This window comes from Homo sapiens, chromosome 6 (genome assembly GCF_000001405.40).
Source record: "Homo sapiens chromosome 6, GRCh38.p14 Primary Assembly".
Taxonomy (NCBI): Eukaryota; Metazoa; Chordata; class Mammalia; order Primates; family Hominidae; genus Homo; species Homo sapiens.
In genome coordinates this window covers 108,072,993-108,094,988 of record NC_000006.12, presented here as the reverse complement: position 1 = coordinate 108,094,988, position 21,996 = coordinate 108,072,993, and the positions used below count along the sequence as shown (strand labels likewise).

At 42.4% G+C, this 21,996-nt stretch overlaps 1 protein-coding gene across 3 annotated transcripts in view, besides 2 other annotated features; it reads left to right on the top strand.

Moving 5' to 3' along the window:
• Nucleotides 14,493-15,162: an enhancer, noted in NCBI's record as "H3K27ac hESC enhancer chr6:108401031-108401700 (GRCh37/hg19 assembly coordinates)". NCBI's record gives its function as "activates a minimal SCP1, AML or CMV promoter by ChIP-STARR-seq in primed H9 embryonic stem cells {active_cell/tissue: H9 hESC(primed)}" and the evidence as "EXISTENCE:reporter gene assay evidence [ECO:0000049][PMID:30033119]".
• Nucleotides 20,038-20,477: a silencer, noted in NCBI's record as "silent region_17446". NCBI's record gives its function as "represses an Ori minimal core promoter by ATAC-STARR-seq in GM12878 lymphoblastoid cells {active_cell/tissue: GM12878}" and the evidence as "EXISTENCE:reporter gene assay evidence [ECO:0000049][PMID:35858748]".
• The window catches only part of OSTM1 (osteoclastogenesis associated transmembrane protein 1), a 33,333-nt gene continuing 31,584 nt past the window's right edge, over nt 20,248-21,996 (top strand). For all 3 annotated transcript variants that reach the window (NM_014028.4, XM_047418679.1, XM_047418680.1), the window contains exon 1: nt 20,248-20,739. In NM_014028.4, the coding sequence (NP_054747.2) occupies nt 20,338-20,739 (402 nt within the window). In that variant the 5' untranslated portion in view covers nt 20,248-20,337. The remainder of the gene's footprint in view (nt 20,740-21,996) is intronic.

The following is a 21,996-nucleotide window of genomic DNA, read 5'->3' as shown; positions in this document are numbered from 1 at the left end:
GCTTGAGCTCAGGGGTTGGAGACTAGCCTGGGCAACATAGAGAGACCTCATCTCTACTAAAAATCACAAATATTAGCGAGGAATGTTGGTACATGCCTGTAGTCCCAGCTACTCACGAGGCTGAAGCAGGAAGATCATGAACCCAGGAGATCGAGGTTGCAGTGAGCTGTGATCATATACTGAACTCCAGCCTGGGCAACAGAGTGAGACCCTGTCTCAAAAAAAAAAATTATTGGCCAGGTGCCGTGGCTCACACTGTAATCCCAGCACTTTGGGAGGTCAAGGCGGGTGGATCACCTGAGGTCGGGAGTTCGAGACCAGCCTGACCAACATAGAGAAACCCCGTCTCTACTAAAAATACAAAATTAGCCGGGCGTTGTGGCGCATGCCTGTAATCCCAGCTACTTGGGAGGCTGAGGCAGGAGAATCGCTTGAACCTGGGAGGTGGAGGTTGCAGTGAGCCGAGATCGTGCCACTGCACTCCAGCCTGGGCAACAAGAGTGAAACTCTGTCTCAAGAAGAAAAAAAAATTTCACAAGGATATATTTTAAAATTAGTATATGGTAAAGTAGCAACTTAAATTATTGCATATATCATTTTCATTACATGTTGCCTGCCACTTACTCAGTGTTCTTCATGCATTCAAATGATTTATAATAACTAATCACCTATATTTAAATCACTTGGGTCTATCAAAAAAGGTATTACTTGTGATAATTTTTTAATTATGCAAATCCAAATGTTAGGCTTTAATTTTATGGCTCATTTCCACATAGTTTTATTCCTTTTCCATGGATGACATAGTTTTTTATGAGGGCCATCTCGATTTCCCCTTAGGAAAAACCCAGTATAACAGCATTTCTTTCATTTCACAATGAATGGTACAATTAAGATTTAATTAGAAGCACACTAGTAAGGGAATTGAAAGCTACTCCGAACCCGTAGATGAAATGTTACACTTTAAAATTGTTCACATGTTGCAACCCACAGCCTTAAAAGGCTAGCATGCGTAAACTTAATTTGAGATGGAGCTTTTTAAAACAACATGATTACTTGTTATATTGAATCTCTTCCTTGTCATGTGTCCACCAAAAAGCCTCATTTTATCTAAAAAAGAAAGGCTCACAGATGCTTCAAGGAAGAAAAGGGGAATTTTCAGCACATGTGCTTTACAAAGAACATCCTGAACAAGCATTCAAGGGTGAGGAGAAGACTTTACTCTCCTTAATACATGTCCTACCTACTTCTCCCACTTTTTTTTTTGTTTGTTTTTTTTTTTTTGAGATGGAGTCTCTCTCTGCCTCCCAGGCTGGAATGCAGTGGCGCTATCTCGGCTCACTGCAACCTCCGCCTCCCAGATTCAAGCAATTCTTCTGTCTCAGCCTCCTGAGTAGCGGAATTACAGGCACGCGCCACCATGCCTGGCTAATTTTTGTATTTTTAGTAGAGACGGGGTTTCACCATGTTGGTCAGGCTGGTCTTGAACTCCTGACCTCGTGATCCACCCGCCTCAGCCTCCCAAAGTGCTGGGATTACAGGCATGAGTCACCACGCCTGGTCCTCTCCCACTTTTTTATAGCCTCACAAAGATGCACGTTTAGGAAGTGATTTGTCCACCACATATGAATTGATTTTTAATAAATATGTAACTTTAAACAATGCTTTAAAAAACTAATACTTACTAGAATTTGAGTCTTCTAACATTTTTTCAAATTTAAAAATACCATTAACTTTTTTTCAAATTTAGAAATACCATTTCAAAGACTGAAACAGAGGGTATATTTAAAGGTGATTTGCATCTACAGCCATACCACCCTAAACATGCTTCTCATTTGAATTGAGATTAATTGCTTTTCTGAATGGTGCGTTGGAACAGCAATTTAGTGTAGACCTGTGAGCCTTGGTGAGGCTGCCAAAAATGACCTATTGATATCAGTTAACTATAAGAAAGAGGAGTGACTTTGCTCCGAAGTGGATTTCTGGAAATTATATGTATAAGTGCCTAAGGCCTGAAAGGTTTCTGATAACCTGGACTATAAGTAGATTAGTATCATAGAAACCTTTTCTATCCATCCTGTTCTTTACATCCAAATCCAGAGGGCCCAGTCATGGGATGAAGCAGAGAAATAACCAAGTGCTTGCAAACATGGAGACCAGAAATTACAGGAAATCCAGAACACTCAAAGTCTTGACATTCAGAGGGTGGCCCAGAATTTATGCTGTAAATGCAGAGCATCTCTGGAGACAATTTATTATCCACAGGTCTCCGTCATTGAGACAATATACTATCCTAATCAGTACAACTTCTAATAATGGGGTAGATGATATTTTAATATATTTTGAGAGGAAGTAGAAGGATCTTCTAGAGGTAATTATTTTAGAGAGGTGGCTAATTATCTCATGTTTAAAGATCTCCAGGAAAGATGACTTTATTAACCTTGAGCCTTAAATTTCTTTTTCTACAATTTTTAGAATATAACCTGAATAGTAGTGGCCACATATAATGCTTCCCAGGATGACATTAAATCCCATTTCTCCCAGGATGGCATTCATTTGCTCAGAATGTATAACCGAGGATACACATACACACACACACACACACGCATGCACTAAAACAGAACTTAAGACCAGCATGGAATAACAGACTTGCTGTCCTGAGTTGATATCATTTTATTCTAAAGCAGAGAAATTTGATGGTTTTGATGTTTTGATGTTTTAGGTAGTCCATCATAGCTTTGTGCCAGGTAAGTGCATCATTTGCTTTAGACTTTATGAAATACTAGAAATACCTTATGGGTCTTCAGTTTTTTCCTTGTAGATCCTTAGATGTCCCGGGATTTGAGGCTGAAACCCATTGGTTTACAGAATGGAAACAACGGAGTCACTGCTTGTACATTATGGTCATTTCAGGCACTATGGTAACTGAGTTGAATCTCTGCAAAGATGATCCAGATAATCAACATATATTTGCATTTGAAGATGGATCATAATCCAAGAATAAGTTTGCCACAATCAATTAAATCTTTTTGTATAAAAATGTCCCAAATATGCGGCTGGACGTGGTGGCTCATCCCTGTAATCTTAGCACTTTGGGAGGCCAAGGCAGGTAGATCGCTTGAGCCCAGGAATTTGAGCCAGGCTGGGCAACATGGTGAAACCCTGTCTCTACCAAAAATACAAAAATTAGCCAGTCTCATAACCTGGTCTCAAAATAGGTAAATAGATAAAAATTTAAAAATATAACATAAAATATAAGTTTAAAAAAGAATGGCCCAAATAATGAGCTTTATATTTTTTTAAAGAACCATACATATGGTATGAATTGAAGGGGCCCAGAAAGGTCCAGTTGCCTCAAAATTCCTCCCTTTACCAAACCTACTTAATACCATCTACCTCCTTTTCCCCAGTGTGGTCTCCAGAAGGGCACTGTTTAAGATCCATTTTCCATTAAGAGGGAAGAGAGGGCCTTGCACTGGACACCTATTAGGTTTGGCACCCAGTTCCCCTTTTCTACAAACTTCTCTCTTCTATGCTCATCCACATGGTCACAGGCTGGCTTCCAAGCAGCCATGGTTATATATTATGGAGTCCTAATTAGGGAAAAGGAGCCAGACTGGCAGGATGAAGGGAAAGCAAAGAGATAAAGCAAATAAGCTATAGGTCTGCCTTTCTTCATGGTCCAGGACATATAAATGAAAAGAGGAAGCAGATAAGCTACAAGTCTGTCTTTCTTTATGGCCCAGGACATATAGTCCTCCTGAGCAAATAACATACACAACTCACAAACTTTCTGCTTATCACCAAACGCTTCAATTCATCATCAAACACGTTGGCTGACAGAAGAATACAAGCTGGCTTTCTGCTACCTTTGCATTATCAATCAGCCCAAGAACCATCCAGTAAAATCTCCAGCAAGCCTTTGTTTCCTTGTAGTCAGCTCCTCTTCTGCTGGTTCTGCCCACTGCTCCCTGGCAACATATTCTCATACTTTCTTTAATAAATCTGCCTTTCTTTACCTACAACTGTCTTGGTAAATTCTTATCCCCCCCAAATCCCATGCCTCACCACCAGCCCAGATAGTTGCTGCTCACCTGTGACATATATTATGGCCCATAACCATCATGTTGGCTACAATCTGGGCTGAATAGAGATTCCTTGGAAAATTTGGGATTGGGAATAAGAGGTCTGGTCTTTGTCTGGGTTGAAATCTTTAGTGCAAGACATATAAAAACTGGAGTTTGGGCTGGGCAAGGTGGCTCGCACCTGTAATCCCAGCACTTTGGGAGGCTGAGGCAGGTGGATCACCTGAGGTCAGGAGTTCGAGACCAGCCTGGCCAACATGGTGAAACCCTGTCTCTACTAAAAACACAAAACTTTACTGTGTGTGGTGGTGTGTGCCTGTAATCCCAGCTACTCAGGAGGCTGAGGCAGGAGAATCACTTGAACCTGGGAGGCGGTGGTGCAGTGAGCTGAGATCACACTGTTGCACTCCAGCCTGGGTGACAAAAGCAAAACTCTGCCTCAAAAAATATATATATATATAATAATAATGGAGTTTGTGTAGCTATATTTTCCACCACAAAGCCTGGGAAGACATGTAGACTAGAACAAGGACAGACAGACTGTTTGGTGCTAGTTCCAGAGTGTTTGGTGCATAGTTCCAGAGTGTTTGGTCCATAGTTCCAGAGTGTTTGGTGTATAGTTCCAGAGTGTTTGGTGCATAGTTCCAGTCCCATCCTGAGACATGGTCTTGGTTTCATCCTTGAATTTCTCACTTTTTGCTGAAGTTAACTTGCATTGGTTTCTGTTTCTTAAAGCCAATAAAGATCCAACAGATAGGCTGTCTTGATGGAAGTCTATTAGTCAGTCCCAGAGTCACATTATTGCCTCTACCAGATCAGCCAGTAGTTATCCTCAGATGCACAGAGAATCTAGTCTCTGAAGACCTAGGAATACAAACAAGGTACCCCAGGAGAATCAAAATGAGATCTTGGCTTACATCTGACTAATCCAAGATTTATATGTATACATAAATGTATACATATTTCTTTGTTGTAAAACCAAATAATTAGTTTAAATAGTTGTCATAGTCTTCAAAATGTTAATAGACCAATAAAAGGGAACCGATATGCAACATCTTCTCTGTGGTATTCTGAGCAGCAGAATGGTTTTTTTTTTTTTTGGTGGGTAATTTCTTTTTTTTTTGGAAGAAAAAAATGACGCTGTCAATAGTTTTATCATTCAAATATAGAAAGCATAGTTCTCCATTCTTCATAAGGAGCTGGGGTGGACACAGCTGGAAAGGACTGAATAATTAAAATATTAATCAGAAGAGCAGAGATTAAATGACTTTATTTGAATAGAGCAATTGGGCAAAATTAGAATTGAAAGGAAAATAAAATAGCTTATAAAAGAAGCAAACATTTTAACACTGGCCCTGTCTTCAACTAAGCATAGCATAAGGATGGTAACAAGTGGTACTTGTTCCAAATGTTGCCATAGGTAAATTCAGGAACATCCACTTCTCTGAGACATGAACATTCGTACACTTCATCTTGACTGTAACATTTGCTTCCTATACTTCTGTTGTTATGTACACAGTGAATATGAAATATAACTTATTTACAAAGAATATTTAAATGTTGATATATTTTTAAAGACATGCTGCATAGAAATAACATCTTATTGATTTCTCTAGTAATCTATATGTCGTAGGAAATTAAATGGATAATAAGCAATAAATAATAAAACATACTTTAAAACTGTCAAGAGACACATAAAATCCATATGTGGTTATTAATAAGCATTGAACAACAAATTTTTTTTTTGAGACAGACTCTTGCTTTGTTGCCCAGGCTGGAGTGCAGTGGCGTGATCCTGGCTCACTGCAACTTCTGCCTGCTGGGGTTCAAGTGATTCTCCTGCCTCAGCCTCCCAAGCAGCTGGGACTACAGGCATGGACCACCACGCCCAGCCAATTTTTGTATTTTTTGGTATTTTTAGTAGAGGTGGGGTTTCACCATGTTGGCCAGGCTGGTCTTGAACTCCTGAGCTCAGGTGATACACCTGCCTTGGCCTCCCAAAGTGCTGAGATTACAGGCGTGAGCCACCATGCCCAGCCTGAACAACAAGATTTTTTAATAGTGCAATCACTTTTCTACATATAATTAATGTATCTTTATGAGTCACAGCAGAACCAATAGGAAACATATATATCTAGATATGGGTAGACAATGAGATTAATTACAACAAATGGCCCGCATGACTATGGACGCTGAGAAGTCCCAACATCTGCATTCTGCAAGCTGGAGACCCAGGAGAGTTAATGTGTGGTTCCAGTCTGAAAGCCAGCAGGCTGGAGATTCAAAAAGAGTCAATGTTTCAGTTTGAGTCCTAAGGCAGAAAAAACTGATGTACGAGCTCAACAGTCAGGAAGGAGGAGTTCCCTCTTATTCAGCATTTTTATTCTCTTCAGGTCTTCAATGGACTGAATGAATGAAGCCCACCCACACTAGGAAAGGCAATCTGCTTTACTCAGTCTACCAATTCAAATGTTAATTTCATCCACAAATGCTCTCACAGATGCACCCAGAATGACATTTGATCAAATAAATTAACCATCATAAATCCATTCCTTGTTAACCTGGCATCTATATGTATCTCCAAATAAAGACAATAACAAGATCATAATTATACCTAGTATGACACAACTATCTTCATACAACTGAACATGCACTAACCTCTATTCCAGAAAAGGAGATAAAGTCCTTGAGTGATGTTTAACTCTTCTCCTTGATATTTTATAACAAATATTATGATATAAAATTAACAATACTTACATATTATATTATACTATGATAATATGAAGTCAATATATCTTTTTTTTTTTTTTTTTGAGATGGAGTTTCGCTCTTGTTGCCCAGGCTGGAGTGCAATGGCACGATCTCGGCTCACTCACTGCAACCTCTGCCTCCTGGGTTCAAGCGATTCTCATGTCTCAGCCTCTGGAGTAGCTGGGATTACAGGCACACACCACAACACCTGGCTAATTTTTTTGTATTTTTAGTAGAGATGGGGTTTTGCCATGTTGGTCAGGCTGGTCTTGACCTCCTGACCTCAGGTGATCCACCCACCTCAGCCTCACAAAGTGCTGGGATTACAGGCATGAGCCACTGCGCCCAGCCTAAAGTCAATATATCTTATAAGAGAATAAAAGAGAGAAGAAAATAAAGATATTTGGGGTGTGTGTGTGTGTGTGTGTGTGTGTATGTGTATATATATATGTGTATATGTATATATATATACATATTCATAACAAAATATGGAGAAATACTCATAATAATTATATTCCTAATTTCTATAACTGGTCACATGGTCATAGCTCGTATTTATAACTACCTTCTACCGCCCATTCTGTATTATCTTTGATCTCAGCAAGCATCTCAGCTGGTGGTGATCCTTTACCTGTAGGGCAATCCAAACCTCCATTCCTGAAAGGCCTGGGCCATTCACAATCCTGCCTAGATTAGCTTGTTATAGTTTTCCATCAATCTTAATAATAGGGCATAATAATACTAAGACATACCCTAAGGGATCTCCTGTATTTCAGACATACTCTTCCTTACTTCCATTGTGGAGTGGTAGTCCAATTTCCCCTTGGTAGTTAGGATCAATCACCCTAGCCAGCACAGTAACTCTCTTCTTTAACCATTGATTTAGAGGGAGCCCAAAGTGGCCAGGTGGCAATCTTAAATTCCAATTCCGTCATTCTTGTATCTCCTAGTGGATGCACTCCTCCTTTTGGGACTGTAGACCTCTAGCCCAGCAGGGCATAAAGTCATTAGAACAGGAAGCAAAAATTTTGCTAGTGGGTCACCAGGAGTAATAGTGAGTGGCGCCATTCTCATTTCTACTTATGAATGCTGGCTTTCCAAGAAATAGTACCACATATTAGGCATCTAATTAACAAGAGAGTTTCTGTTATATTAGGAAATGGGTTCGGTGATCAGACTTTGGTCACTGATAATATATATCTACTGAAGCACACATATTTTTAATGTATATTTTCATTTGTAAATTGAACAAATATTTATTAAAATTATGTTGATACAAACTCAAAGTTCTAATACCACTCATCTATTAGAAACATACATTTACCACCAGAGAGTCTGTCAAGTAAATGTGATTCAACTTCATTGTTTTAAAAATATCTCCTAATGCCGAAGCTATAAGATTATCTTCAGGTGAAAAAAAATCTATCTTCAGATGAGAGTTCTGGAAATGAGATTGGCCACTGGAGTGAGTAGATTAGACTTTTGCAAAGTATCATGAATGAACAACATGATTTACATGTCCCATGTGTTCAGGTCATTCTGCTCAGGCATGCAAAGCTTATGGGCATTTACTTACAGCATTGTTTTGCCCATTAAAGAATTACAAAAATAAAAATATGTTTCCATTGATGTATCAATCTGAAAAGCACTTAAAGCAGATGTGCATTTGTATTACACAAATTCAATGTAACAAATGTTTTGGGTACCTTCTCTGTACAAGACATCAGGCTAAGTGCTTCTAAGTATACAAATATAAATAGGACTCAGTCCACATTCTCCATAAGATCATCTCATGGCTGGAGGTGACATAAGATATACATGCTGACTTTAATAAAGAGCAAGGTAAAACACAGAAAAGACTGCCACTTAAGACAGCAAGTTGAACACATGATTAGATCTGTTCCTTCCTGAAATCCCACAAGATTTGTAAAATAATTTTTAAAAAGACACATAAGAACATAGAGAACAGGAGAAAAGAAAAAGTAAAAATATTGGTTCTTGGGATGGTGATGCATACCTGTAGTCCCAGCTACTTGGGAGGCTGAGGCAGGAGGATCACGTGAGCACAGGAGTTTTTTGTTTGTTTGTTTGTTTGTTTGAGATGGAGTCTCGCTCTGTCACCCAGGCTGGAGTGCAGTGGCGCGATCTCGGCTCACTGCAAGCTCCGCCTCCCAGGTTCACACCATTCTCCTGCCTCAGCCTCCTGATTAGCTGGGACTACAGACGCTTGCCACCATGCCTGGCTAATTTTTTGTATTTTTTAGTAGAGATAGGGTTTCACCATGTTAGCCAGGATGGTCTCGATCTCCTGACTTCGTGATCCGCCTGCCTTGGCCTCCCAAAGTGCTGGGATTACAGGCGTGAGCCACTGCGCCTGGCCGAGCACAGGAGTTTAAGTTCAGCCTGGGCAACATAGCAAGACCCCATCTCTTCAAAAATATATTGGAAGCGGGAAAGCAGGTGGACTAATAAAAACTGACTTAGCAAAACCTAAGCAGAAAAGCTAATTTGTATGCCTGTAGTAGGAAAAAAAGGCAACTGAATTATATTATAGAACCCTCAAAGAGCCCAAGAAGTGGAAAGACATCAGGTACCTCTGAAAATGTAGATAAAAGAAGAACCAAAACAAGATGATTGAAAGGCTATTTACAATACCCTCCCTACTATTCTATGTCCCATCCCAACTCCAGCAGAATACCACTAAATTCCTGATATCTGGAGAAAGTGAAGCAAGGGGAGTCTGGACCAAGAGACATAAGCATATTTGAGGGCAGGGACATTTTGCTAAAACAGGGAGATTAAGTAAAAGTTCATTCACTGAAGTTGAGTTGCCAGCTTTTTTCCACTGCCAGGATCAGGGATTACTGGCAGCAAGGTAGCATGCTGGCAGAATCTTCTGTGAAGAGGATAATCTGCCCAAGAGAAACGATTTAAAATACTGATGTTTTCAATGCTTTGTTTTGGGTGACCATCCTGTGCATTTTAAGATGTTTTGCAGTGTTCTTTGTCTCTATTCATTAGATGCTAGTAGCATACCCTTCTCCCAGTTTTGACAACCAAAAATGTTTCCACACATTGCTAAATATACCACAAGGGTGGGGAGCAAAACTGTCCCCATTGAGAACCATTGGCCTATACTGAAACTCATAGTCTAAAAGAACTATCCATGAACACAGAGTTTCCATTCAGCTTTGTAGTGCCTCTCTCTTAAATGTAAGCAGAAAGCCAAGGTTCACTAGACACTTAAAAGTATAGATAAAAACAAACAGGAATAAAAGTAACTTGGCCGGCTGTGGTGGCTCACGTCCGTAATCCCAGCACTTTGGGAGGCTGAGGTGGGCGGATCACCTGAGGTCAGGAGTTCGAGACCAACCTGACCAATATGATGAAACCCTGTCTCTACTAAAAATACAAAAATTAGCTGGGTGTGGTGGCGGCCGCCTGTAGTACCAGCTATTTGGGAGGCTGAGACAGGAAAATTGCTTGAACCCGGGAGGTGGAGGTTTCAGTGAGCCAAGATCGTGCCTCTGCACTCCAGCCTGGGTGACAGATCGAGACTCTATTTCAAAAAATAAAATAAAATAAATAAATAAAAGTAACTTGGAGGAAACGGGCTAGGAGGAAGAAAAAAACTTTAAAAGGACGTAACATCTACATAATCCTAGCATTTTGGGAGGCCAAGGAGGGCGGATCACCTGAGGTCAGGAGTTTGAGGCCAGCCTGACCAACATGGCAAAACCCTGTCTCTATTAAAAATACAAAAATTAGCTGGGCATGGTGGTGTGTGCCTGTAATCCCAGGTACTCAGGAAGCTGAGGCAGGAGAATCACTTGAACCTGGGAGGCAGAGTTTGCAGTGAGCCAAGATCGTGTCACTGCACTCCAGCCTGGGCAACAGAGCGAGACTCCGTCTCAAAAAAAAAAAAAAAAAAAGAAATTTTGGGAATTAAAAGTATAGCAGAAATGAAAAAACTCAGTAGAAGCATTGAAGAACAAAGTTAATGAAATTTCTAGGAAGTACAATAAAAATATACAAAGAGATGAAAAAATAGGAGAACATTAGAAGTTGAGAAAATTTAAGTAACCATCTAGGAGGACTGCATTAGGATCAGCTTAAGTTGCTGTAACAGAGACTCCAAAATATAGTGGCATTAATAGGACAGAAGTTCATTCCTCTGTGGCCTAGAGTAGGTAGATGACTCTGCTTTATGACCAGCTGGCTCCGTCATGCTAAACATGTTGCATCCATATCCATCTCTGTACCCAGGCCTGATGTTTCAGTTATTAACATTTTCTGTCCAGGCGCAGTGGCTCACACCTGTAATCCCAGCACTTTGGGAGGCTGAGGCGGGTGGATCACCTGAGGTCAGGAGTTTGAGACCAGTTTGGCAAACATGGCCAAACCCTGTCTCTACTGAAAATATAAAAATTAGCCAGGAACAGTGGTACGCGCCTATAATCCCAGCTACTCGGGAGGCTGAGGCAGAAGAATTGCTTGAACCCAGGGGTCAGAGGTTGTAGTGAGCTGAGATTGCACCACTACACTCCAGCCTGGGTGACAGAGCAAGACTGTATCTCAAAAACAAAACAAAACAAAAAACATTTCCTAACAGGAAGAGGGCGGATACAATTCATGACTTAAAGATATGACTAGTAAGATATACGCACTTCAGTTCACACTTAGCTGCAAGGGAGGTTGGAGCATGTAGTCCTGCCATGTTCAGCTAAATCTCAGGAGTTGTATCATTAAAAGGAAGGAGAGAATGGATGTTGGAGGAAGTTGAGCAATCTCCACTATAAGGTTTAACATCTGGCTGGGCCTGGTGGCTCACACCTATAATTCCAGAGCTTTGGAAGGCAGAGGTAGGAGGATTGCTTGAGGCCAGGAATTCGAGACTGGCCTGGGCAACACAGTCAGACCCCATCTCTACAAAAAATAAACACAAAAATTTTAGCTGGGCATGGTGGCATGTGTCCGTAGTTCCAGCTACTTAGACGGCCGAGGATCCCTTAAGCTCAGGAGTTCATGGCTACTGTGAGCTATGATTTTGCCACTGCACTCCAGCCTGGGCAACAGAATGAGACCCTGTCTCCAAAAAAAAGAAAAAAGATTTAACATCCAAATAAAAAAACGTTCCAAAAGAGTGAACCAGAGAAAATAGCAGAGAGGAAATCAGCAAAGAACTATATATTTGGATGACTAGGTTTTGCTGTGGTGGTAATAAACCTCTTCCAAGGGAGACAACCCAAAAGTCTGACCATGTCATAGTATAAAGCTCAGTCTAGAATCTCAAAGTCTGGAATCAGGATAACCTCAGAAACCAGCAAAGGTGTATTTGGGTGACTAGGTTTTACTGTGGTAATAAACCTCTTCCAAGGGAGACAACCCAAAACTCCAATCACGTCATAGTATAAAGTTCAAAGTCTAGAATCTTTGGGTAGTGTGTGGGATAGTTTCTACAACAGGTTCAAATGTGGCTCCTTCAGATCCAGAGACCTATGTGCTGAAAGGCTAAGCTCTCTCTCCTCATATACCAATGCACAGTGATGGAACAGGATCAGGATAACCTAGGAAATGGGGACTGGAGACACACAGCAGACATTAGCCCACTGCAAAATGTAACAAAACAGTGGTTTCCAAACTATTTTTTCCCCTAGGGGAAACTTGAAAATAATCTTCTGTGGAATTCCAATCATGAAAGCAGGTCAAGGTGGGCTGCTCTGCTTGGGGACTGGAATGCTCACTGAGCTCCTCTTACCCTCAAACTAGGGGCTGCTCCTGAGGAAGCTCCACAAAATCTATAGAGGCCATGAAGCATAGCAAAAGTGAGGTCATCAAGAGATAGTCAGCTTTTGTTCCATCAAAGAGGGTAAAGGGACGGTTTAGAGAAGATATTGAAGAAAAGAGATTACAGATGATAGATCATGAGTTACAAAGGACCCAGTGGAACGGTTTGGGAAGGTGGGAAGGCATTGGAAACTGGGTCAGGTGGGATGTGTAAGGTGATATGGTGCACTCTCCTTTCATCATACTGGCCTAGGCAATGTCCCAACAATTTTAAGCCCAACCATTATGCTGCTCTACACTGTCACCTGAACAACTAAACATTGCTGACGAGAACACTTAATTAGGTCTATTGATTATACCTTAAAACTGTGCCCACGGATCTCAAATAGGCATTCAATATTGCCTGGCAATGGTATTACATATACCTAATACATTTATTTTTTCGTAAGTTTATTTTTTCCAGAATAATTATTTCATACCTTCTTTTCGAGCCTCAAACTGCTTATATTCTACCCCTCTCTAAAGGAAATCATATTTCAATAAATATTTATTGAGCATCTATTTCATGCCATTGTTCTAAGCACTGAGAGAGCAGTGGACAACACAGTCTTTGCTCTCAAGGAACTTAAATTCCAGTGCGGGGAGACAGAAATAAACAAGTGTATAGGATTCCGTATGGTGCTAAGTGCTATGGAAAAAAAATAAAGCAGGTTGGGGAAAAGAGAATGCTGATAAAAGCAGCAGATCCCAGATTCTTCTAGGGCATAACAAGAGCTTTGCTTTAACTTTGGGTGATATCTGTAGCCACTGGTGGGGTCAAAACAAAAAAACTGACATAACCCAACTTAGGTTTTGAAAGGATCACTTTGTCTGCTGTAGTTAGAATAAACCATCCATGAGAGAGAAAGAGTATCAATAGGGAGACTGTTTTATTGGCCTTGGTTCCTGGGCCTTTTCTGGTCATCTTCGACTACCTTCTTGGCCTAAATTCTTGCTTCCCCACTATTCCACGTTTTAATGGGAAAAATTGTCAAAGTATAATTTTCAAAAAGTTAAAAATGTGACTCATACAAATATAGAATGAAAATGTGTCGAATGTTTATTAACTCATTAATATTAACTCAATGTCTCTCAAACCAGGTATAGGCACTGAAAAAGTAATGTTAGAATTAGGTTGCTGGACAGCATAGAGGATCATGGTGGACGGGAGGCGGGACTAGATTGCAACTACCACGCAGACAGACAGAGCAGTATGTGGAGACTCGCACTGTAACCTTTTGCTCCAGAACTACTGCAGGAATAAACCAGGAAAGCTGAGAAAACCCACAGACTCTCTGAAGAAAGCGGATGACTCCTGTAGGACACTGGAGACAACCCAAATACTGTGAATGCCCAAGCTGTGGTAGTGGGAAAAGAGAACTGTCCACCCCTGAACACATACCCTCACTGGGGAACCTGAAGGTCTGGATCACAGGAGAATATTCTGACCTTACCTGGAGCTGAGTCAATTTAGAGAGCAGAGCAAAATACAGGGGTAAAGGAAGCAGCAGGAAAAGCCCTGTGGGCTCTCTGGGTCCCCTGGGTACCCATTTCTGCCTTGTCTCACAGGGGTCCTTGAGGAGGGCTGCCAGAGAAAAGACCACAGGGAGAAGGAAACCTCTAGCTGAACTTTGTAACAATTCCAACTGAATGTGAAGTCTCCTGGCCAGAACCCGGTGGAGGTCATGAATCTGGAATGCAGACTTCACAGGCTGAAAGGAACAAAAACCCAGCTGGCTTTCACAGTGGGAGGCTGGTAGCCTGGGGCAAGCTCTCAGCCCTGCTCTCCCACTGCCTGGAAATTCACTTGGTGCTGTTGGGGGGGTGCACAGTGGGAGTGAGACCAGCCTTTTGGGTTGCTTGGGAGGTGGGTAAGGCCTGTGACTGCCAGCTTTCTCCCACTTCCTTGACTAACTGCATGACACAGCAGAGGCAGCCTTAATCCTACTGGGAACATAACTCCATTGACCTGGGAACCACATCCCCATTCCCCACAGAAGCCGCAGCAAGACCCACCCAAGGAGAGCCTGAGCTTAGACAGGCCTAACCCTGACCCAACCTGATGGTCTCCTTCCCTACCCACCCTGGTGGCTGAAGACAAAGGGCATATACTCTCCTGAGTTCTAGGGCTCTGCCCACCAGCTGATCCTCCCTATACTACCACAGCTGATGCTCTCTTCAAAGTGCCACCTCCTGGCAGGAGGCCAATCAGCACAAAAATAGTGCATTAAACAACCAAAACTAAGGACCCTCACAGAGTCCATTTCACCCCCCTGCCACCTCCTCCAGAGCAGGTGCTGATATCCATGGCTGAGACACCTGCAGACTGTTCACATCACAGAACCCGGTGCAGACAATCCCCAGTACCAGCCCAGAGCTTGGTAGACCTGCTGGGTGGCTAGATCCAGAAGAGAAATAACAATCACAACAGCTCAGCTCTCAGGAAGCCACATCCCTAGGAAAAGGGAGAGAGTACTTCATCAAGGGAACACCCCATGGGACAAAAGAATTTGAACAGCAGCCTTGAGCCCTAGACCTTCCCTCTGACACAGCCTACCTAACTGAGAAGGAACCAGAAAAACAATTCTGGTAATATGATAAAACAAGGTTCTTTAACACCCACAAAAAAATCACACTAGCTCACCAGCAATGGATCCAAACCAAGAAGAAATCCCTGATTTACCTGAAAAAGAAATCAGAAGGTCAGTTATTAAGCTAAAATCAAGGAGGCACCAGAGAAAAGCAAAGTCCAATTTAAGGAAATAAAAAATGATACAAGAAATGAGGGGAGAAATCGTCAGTGAAATAGCATAAATACAAAACAATCAAAACTTCAGGAAACAATGGATGCAAAAATTGTAGAAATGCAAAATGTTCTGGAAAGTCTCAGCAATAGAATTGACAAGCAGAAGAAAGAACTTCAGAGCTCAAAGACAAGGTTTTTTAATTAATCCATATGAAAAAGACAAAGAAAGAATAAGAAAATATGCCCCAGTATGCTGATTGTTTTTTACTTTATTTCCAAATTCGAGGTAATTTTTCTTAACAATTTCTCATGAAAACATTTTTTTTGAAAGTCTCACAGAGTCTTGATTAACATTTTGAATTTACATGAGGAATGTGAGGTAGCATCGTAGGTCAATTTCTCATCTTCTTTTCTGGTTTTCCAGACGTTTCCCTTTGATTGCTAGTTTTTGCTGTTACAATATCGTAGACAAGAGATGCAAAGGATCTGAATTTAGGCAATAGCATTACTTTTTTTTTTTTTAAATCAGGTTTACATTCAAGACAAGACCTTTCCTTATTCTTACACTATGGGGCTATTGTATCATGATGAATATAATCTTCTCTCATAATCATTAATCTCATCAGCAATGTACATAACTACCATCTAATTCTCAGACCCTATTCAAATTTTGCTAGTTGTCCCAGTAATGTCCTGTCAGGTGCAGTTCCTCAATCTTTCCTTGACTTTTGTAGCTGTAACACTTTTGAAGATTATAGTCGAGATATTTTATATAATGAACTTTAATTTGATTTGTCTGACACTTCCCTCATGATTAGAATCAGATTATGCATCTTTGGCAGGAATATAACAGAACTGACACTGTATTCTTCTAATTGCAGCCTATCAGATGCACACAACTTGTATATGTTCCATTATGATGATGTTCATGTTGATCATTTGATTAACATAGGACTGGACAAGGTTTTCCACTGTAAATTTACTCCTTTTTCCCCATTTGTAATTAATAAGTATTTGGTGGGGAGAATCTATGAAAATATGTAAATGTATTAGTCCTTATCAATCTATTATTTAAATTGATCACTATGAGCTTGTGGTTTTATGTAATGGGTTATAGTTTGTTAACCATCATTATTTCAATGCTGAGAGTGACTCAGATTTGACCAGCGGGAGTCCATTCAAGCTGTTTCTGTATGCCCTTCACATGTTTCCAACATTATTCTTTGAGCACTTCCTTACTTTCTGGCACAAGATGATCCAGTCTCAATTTGTGCTTTTTCTGAATCAGCCATTTCTCCAAGGATCCTTGGTTCCTTTTAGTGGAGAATGATACTTCAAATCCAAGATCTGGGCATTATGCATGCTCATTATCACTGGGGTACCTTTGCTACTAAGTGTTCTAAGTGGACAAAGCCAGAGGAAGTACACCCACACAAGTACATATATATGTATACATATACCATATATTCATATATGTACATACACATATAAAATGTATACACATAAATTTACATCTGTATTTATTTCTATACTATATATAGTTGGCCCTCTGTATGCATGGGTTCTGCATCTTGGGATTCGACCAACTGCAGGTCTAAAATATTTGAGGGCTGGGTACAGCGGCTCATACTGCTAATCCCAGGACTTTGGGAGGCTGAAGTGGGAGGATCACTGGAGCCCAGGTGTCTGAGACCAGTCTGGGCAACACAGGAAGATCCCATCTCTACAAAAAAAGAGAAAAATAAAACCACAATAAAAAGTAACATGCCACTGAAAGTACATTAAAAATGGTAACTTTTATGTTATGTATATTTTACCATAATTTTTAAAAAAGTAGTATCTCCTAGTAGAAAAAAAGTAACAATAAAAAATAATATAAATTAAAAACCCAACATAGTATAACCACTATTTACATAGCATGTATATTGTATTAGGTACTATAAGTAATCTAGATATGATTTAAAAGTATAAAGAGGATGCTTTAATAGCATGTAAGAAAAAAGAAAAAGAGTATACGGAAGGAAATGTGTTAGGTTATATGCAAATACTATGGTGTTTTATGTAAGGGACTTGAGGATCTGAAGATTTTGGCATCTGTGGGGGGTCCTGAAACCATTCCCCTGCTGGTATCAAGGGATGACTATGTATTTTAAGCTATGAATTTGCACTATTTCTAATTTTAATCCAACATTAGAGTTCATTTCTCTCTTTTCATATTTGTAACTTTCTTCTCTGACAGTCTGAAACTGAACTCCAATTATTCTTAATATATTTACTGATTCCATCAATCCTTCTGAATGTAAGCAACCTCCCAGTCACTGCTGCCCAATCCTCTGCATGGAGACCCTTCTTATCCACTGAGAACCCAATACTCTGCATCAGGCTGATGCTGCCACCCTCCCTCACACCACTGTCCTCTTCAGCTTACCTATGCTCTGACACCTCTCTCTGGGCCTCTGACACCCCATTCCTACCAAGCACCGATGCCTATCTTGCTCTACTTGACCTTTAAGATTGAATTGTTCCGGGAATGGAAAGGAAAGGAAGAGGGAAAGTGTCTGTAATTTCCTTAAGTTTTTTTTTTTTTTTTTGAGCAGGAGCACAGTGGTGTGATCCTGGCTTACTGCAACCTCTGCCTCCCAGGTTCAAGAGATTCTCCTGCCTCAGTCTCCTGAGTAGCTGGGATTATAGGCATGCATCACCATGCCCGGCTAATTTTTGTATTTTTAGTAGAGACGGGGTTTCACCATGTTGGCCAGGCTGGTGTCGAACTCCTGACTTCAGGTGATCCGCCCGCCTCGGCCTCCCAAAGTGCTGGGATTACAGGCATGAGTCACCGTGCCCGGCCCCTTAACATGCTTTTTGAAGCCATCCTTTTACCACTACAAACAATATTGTAATGAATAAGTGTCTATGACAAGGTTGTGAACTTGCTGCATCAAAGAGCTTGTGCATTTGCAAGGTTGTTGGTTCTGCACATTGATTTCCATAGAAGTTAACAATTTACACATCCACCTGCAACACAGGATGGTGCTTGAAAGAATTTAAAAGAAAGATAATTCTAATACATAGAAAGACCTAAGAGTTACATGATGACTTTTGCAAAACTTAAGACAACTTATTTTCTCTTTTGGAAATACGTTTATTGTTACACAAATCAAATTTCCTACTATTCAGTTTCTTAGTAACAAAAATGAAACAAAATTTAGCTATCCCAAGCAAATTTAGGAACATAAAACAATAACCAAACAGACGGGGTAAAAAGTAACTATAAGAACCCCCAGGCTGGGCACAGCAGCCTGTGCCTGTAGTCCAATTGTTTGGCAGGCCGAGGCAGGAGGATCCCTTGAACCTAGGAGTTCGAGGCCATCCTGGGCAGTCTAGCGAGACTATGTCTCAAAACCAAACCAAACAAAATACACAACAACAACAAAAAAGTTTTTGAAGAACCCTCAGAAACATAAATTAGGACCCTAAGCTAAGTAGACTTTAGTGCAACAGCTCTGCAATTTACAAGGCAAAAATTACAACCCTGAAAAGCAGGATGACACAAAGCCCGGAAATAATTTTCTACCAACCTGGTTGGTCAGATACTTGTCAGAAAACTGTTTTCCAGGTTATGAGCTTAAATTCTTTTTACAGACTGGCAACGGTATCAGGACGCTTTTTAGAGTGTCCCCTGCTATTGCCTCGGGCATGTCAGAAACTGGATAGGAGTTTCAAGTTGAGCAGTTTGTCCAGGATTTCCTGGGCTTTAGCACTGAACGCGCTGCGTCCCTGGTACCCCTTCAGTTCCAAGCAAACCTGCTTGTTGGCCACTGTAGGACCAGACTTACGTCAAGTACAGTTGCCACTACACAGATGTGGCTACTTACATTTAAGTTAAATACTTTTTACTTTTGAGATGGAGTCTCACTTTGTCGTGCAGGCTGGGGTACAGTGGCGCGATCTCGGCTCACTGCAGCCTCGACCTCCTGGCTCAAGCCATCCTCCCCGCTCAACCTAGGACTACAGGCTTGCGCCACCACGCCCAGCGGCTAATTTTTGTATTTTTAGTAGATACGGGGTTTCGCCATGTTGGCGAGGCTGGTCTCCAACTCCTGGCTTCAAGCGATCTGCCTGCCTCGGCCTCCCAAAGTGCTGGGATTACAGGCGTGAGCCACCGCGCCGGCCCTAAATTAAATTAAAAATTCAGTTCCTCAGCCGGCTCAACACCACACATGTGGCCAGTGGCTGCCTTAATAACGCAGATGTAGAATATTTCCCTCATCTCACAGAGTTCTGACAACGCTGAGGCAGACAGTTGAGAGTTTTTTTAAAAACAAAAACAAAAAGCTTGGAAACCGCTAGTCTCCACCACCTATAATAACCAACGGGCATTATTACTCTCTCCAAATGGGATGAGGAAAAAACTACGCTAAGGAACACCATGCAGAAAATCTGCCGAGGCACAGGCCAGCGGGGTTTCTCTGCGAACGCAGCCGACGGCCATTTCCACAGCGGAGGCCGTCGTCGGTCCAGCGAGGTAAGAAACTTGTAGGACGCCCGGAACTCCCAGAGGGTTGGGCGTTCAAGGGTCAGGACCCCCGAGATGCAATTGTCCAAAGCGGTGGGTGCTCGTGGTCACCGGCTGGCGAGCCTCGGCTACGGATACCCCAATGCACCACTCCGCCCCGCCCCGCGCCTAACGCCGGCTGGAGAGCGCGCGGCCGCAGGGTAGGCGCCCTCCCGCACGCGCGAAGGCCTGCGGCCCGGAGGCAGCCGGCAGCCAATGGGGCGGGGCGCCGCGCGCAGGGGGCGGGGCCGTGACGCGCCCTCCTCGTGACCCGGCTCTCGGCCTGCGCTCGCGGAAACCGGAAGCGGCGGCTGTCCGCGGTGCCGGCTGGGGGCGGAGAGGCGGCGGTGGGCTCCCTGGGGTGTGTGAGCCCGGTGATGGAGCCGGGCCCGACAGCCGCGCAGCGGAGGTGTTCGTTGCCGCCGTGGCTGCCGCTGGGGCTGCTGCTGTGGTCGGGGCTGGCCCTGGGCGCGCTCCCCTTCGGCAGCAGTCCGCACAGGGTCTTCCACGACCTCCTGTCGGAGCAGCAGTTGCTGGAGGTGGAGGACTTGTCCCTGTCCCTCCTGCAGGGTGGAGGGCTGGGGCCTCTGTCGCTGCCCCCGGACCTGCCGGATCTGGATCCTGAGTGCCGGGAGCTCCTGCTGGACTTCGCCAACAGCAGCGCAGAGCTGACAGGGTGTCTGGTGCGCAGCGCCCGGCCCGTGCGCCTCTGTCAGACCTGCTACCCCCTCTTCCAACAGGTCGTCAGCAAGATGGACAACATCAGCCGAGCCGCGGGGGTGGGTACAGGACCACGTCCGGGACTGTGGCTCAGGAGAGTTGGGAAAGGAGGAGGGTGTAATGATGGTCAGCGCTGGGGGCCTCAGTTTCCCCAACAGTAAGAAAAAGGGGTTGGACTGAGTCTGTAGAGTTGGGTCATCAGAAAAAGGGGGTGGCATTATGGGGCTTGGGATTTGGGTTTTTGCTTCCAAGAATGCTGTTGGACATCTTTGGTTCATATAGGTGTGATTGGTTTTCTTGGGGGTCCTGATTCCCCAACCCTCTTGCTCTTCCTCCACCCACTCCACCACGGCTTCTTCTCATCTTCACCTGGAGTTGCCAGGAAGGATCCTTTTCTGAAACAAGTGGGGTGGAGACACTGGTAGTGGTTAGAAATTTGAGCTTTGTAGCCAGAAATGTTCATGTCCACCAACTTCTAACTATGTAACCTTGGATTAATTATCTTCTCAGAACCTTAGTTTCCTCCTCTATAAAGTGGAAAGAACATCTGCCTAATGCGGCTGTTGGAAGAATTAAAAGAGATATTGCCTGTGACTTCATCTTAGTGATGTGAACAGTCTGGAGCTAGCTAGCGGCCAGGACTCCAGTTCCACTCTGCTTATTAGCGGTATACTATGGGCAAGTTACTTACATTCTCTGTGCCTGTTTACTAATCTGTAAAATGGGGATAAAAGGAGGTTTTAGAAAACAACACATAGTAATACCTCTAAGTAAATGGGAGGTAAATTTTTAAGAAATTGTAAGACTGCTCTTCATTCTTCATACCTTAAGGGTTCTCTAGGTGTGTGGTAGCTGCTGTGAGGCACTTAATTTTAAAAAGAAAAACAGACAATTCCTGCTCCTAAGTACTTTATAAAGTTTAGACTAGGAAAAGATTAGAGTGTCAGGGTTGGTGGGAGTCACGAGGTGTGGGCCGGATATGCTTGGTAAAGGAAAAACATGAGGAATAACATTGGGATTGGAGAATGAGAAAGTTCCTCTTGTATTACGGGGACAGCAAGTAGTCTCATGAAAATGTGGTTGGAATTATTCCATAAATTTAAACTTGTCTAAACTTGTTTATAGTTGCACTAAATATAAATTTGTACCTAGTTGGATCCTGCTTTAAGTCAGCCTGTTATTTAAAATAAATCTGTCATGGCTGTGTGCGGTGGCTCATGCCTGTAATCCCAGCACTTTGGGAGGCTGAGGCAGGGGGATCACCTGAGGTCAGGAGTTGGAGACTAGCGTGGCCAACATGGTGAAACCCCCGTCTC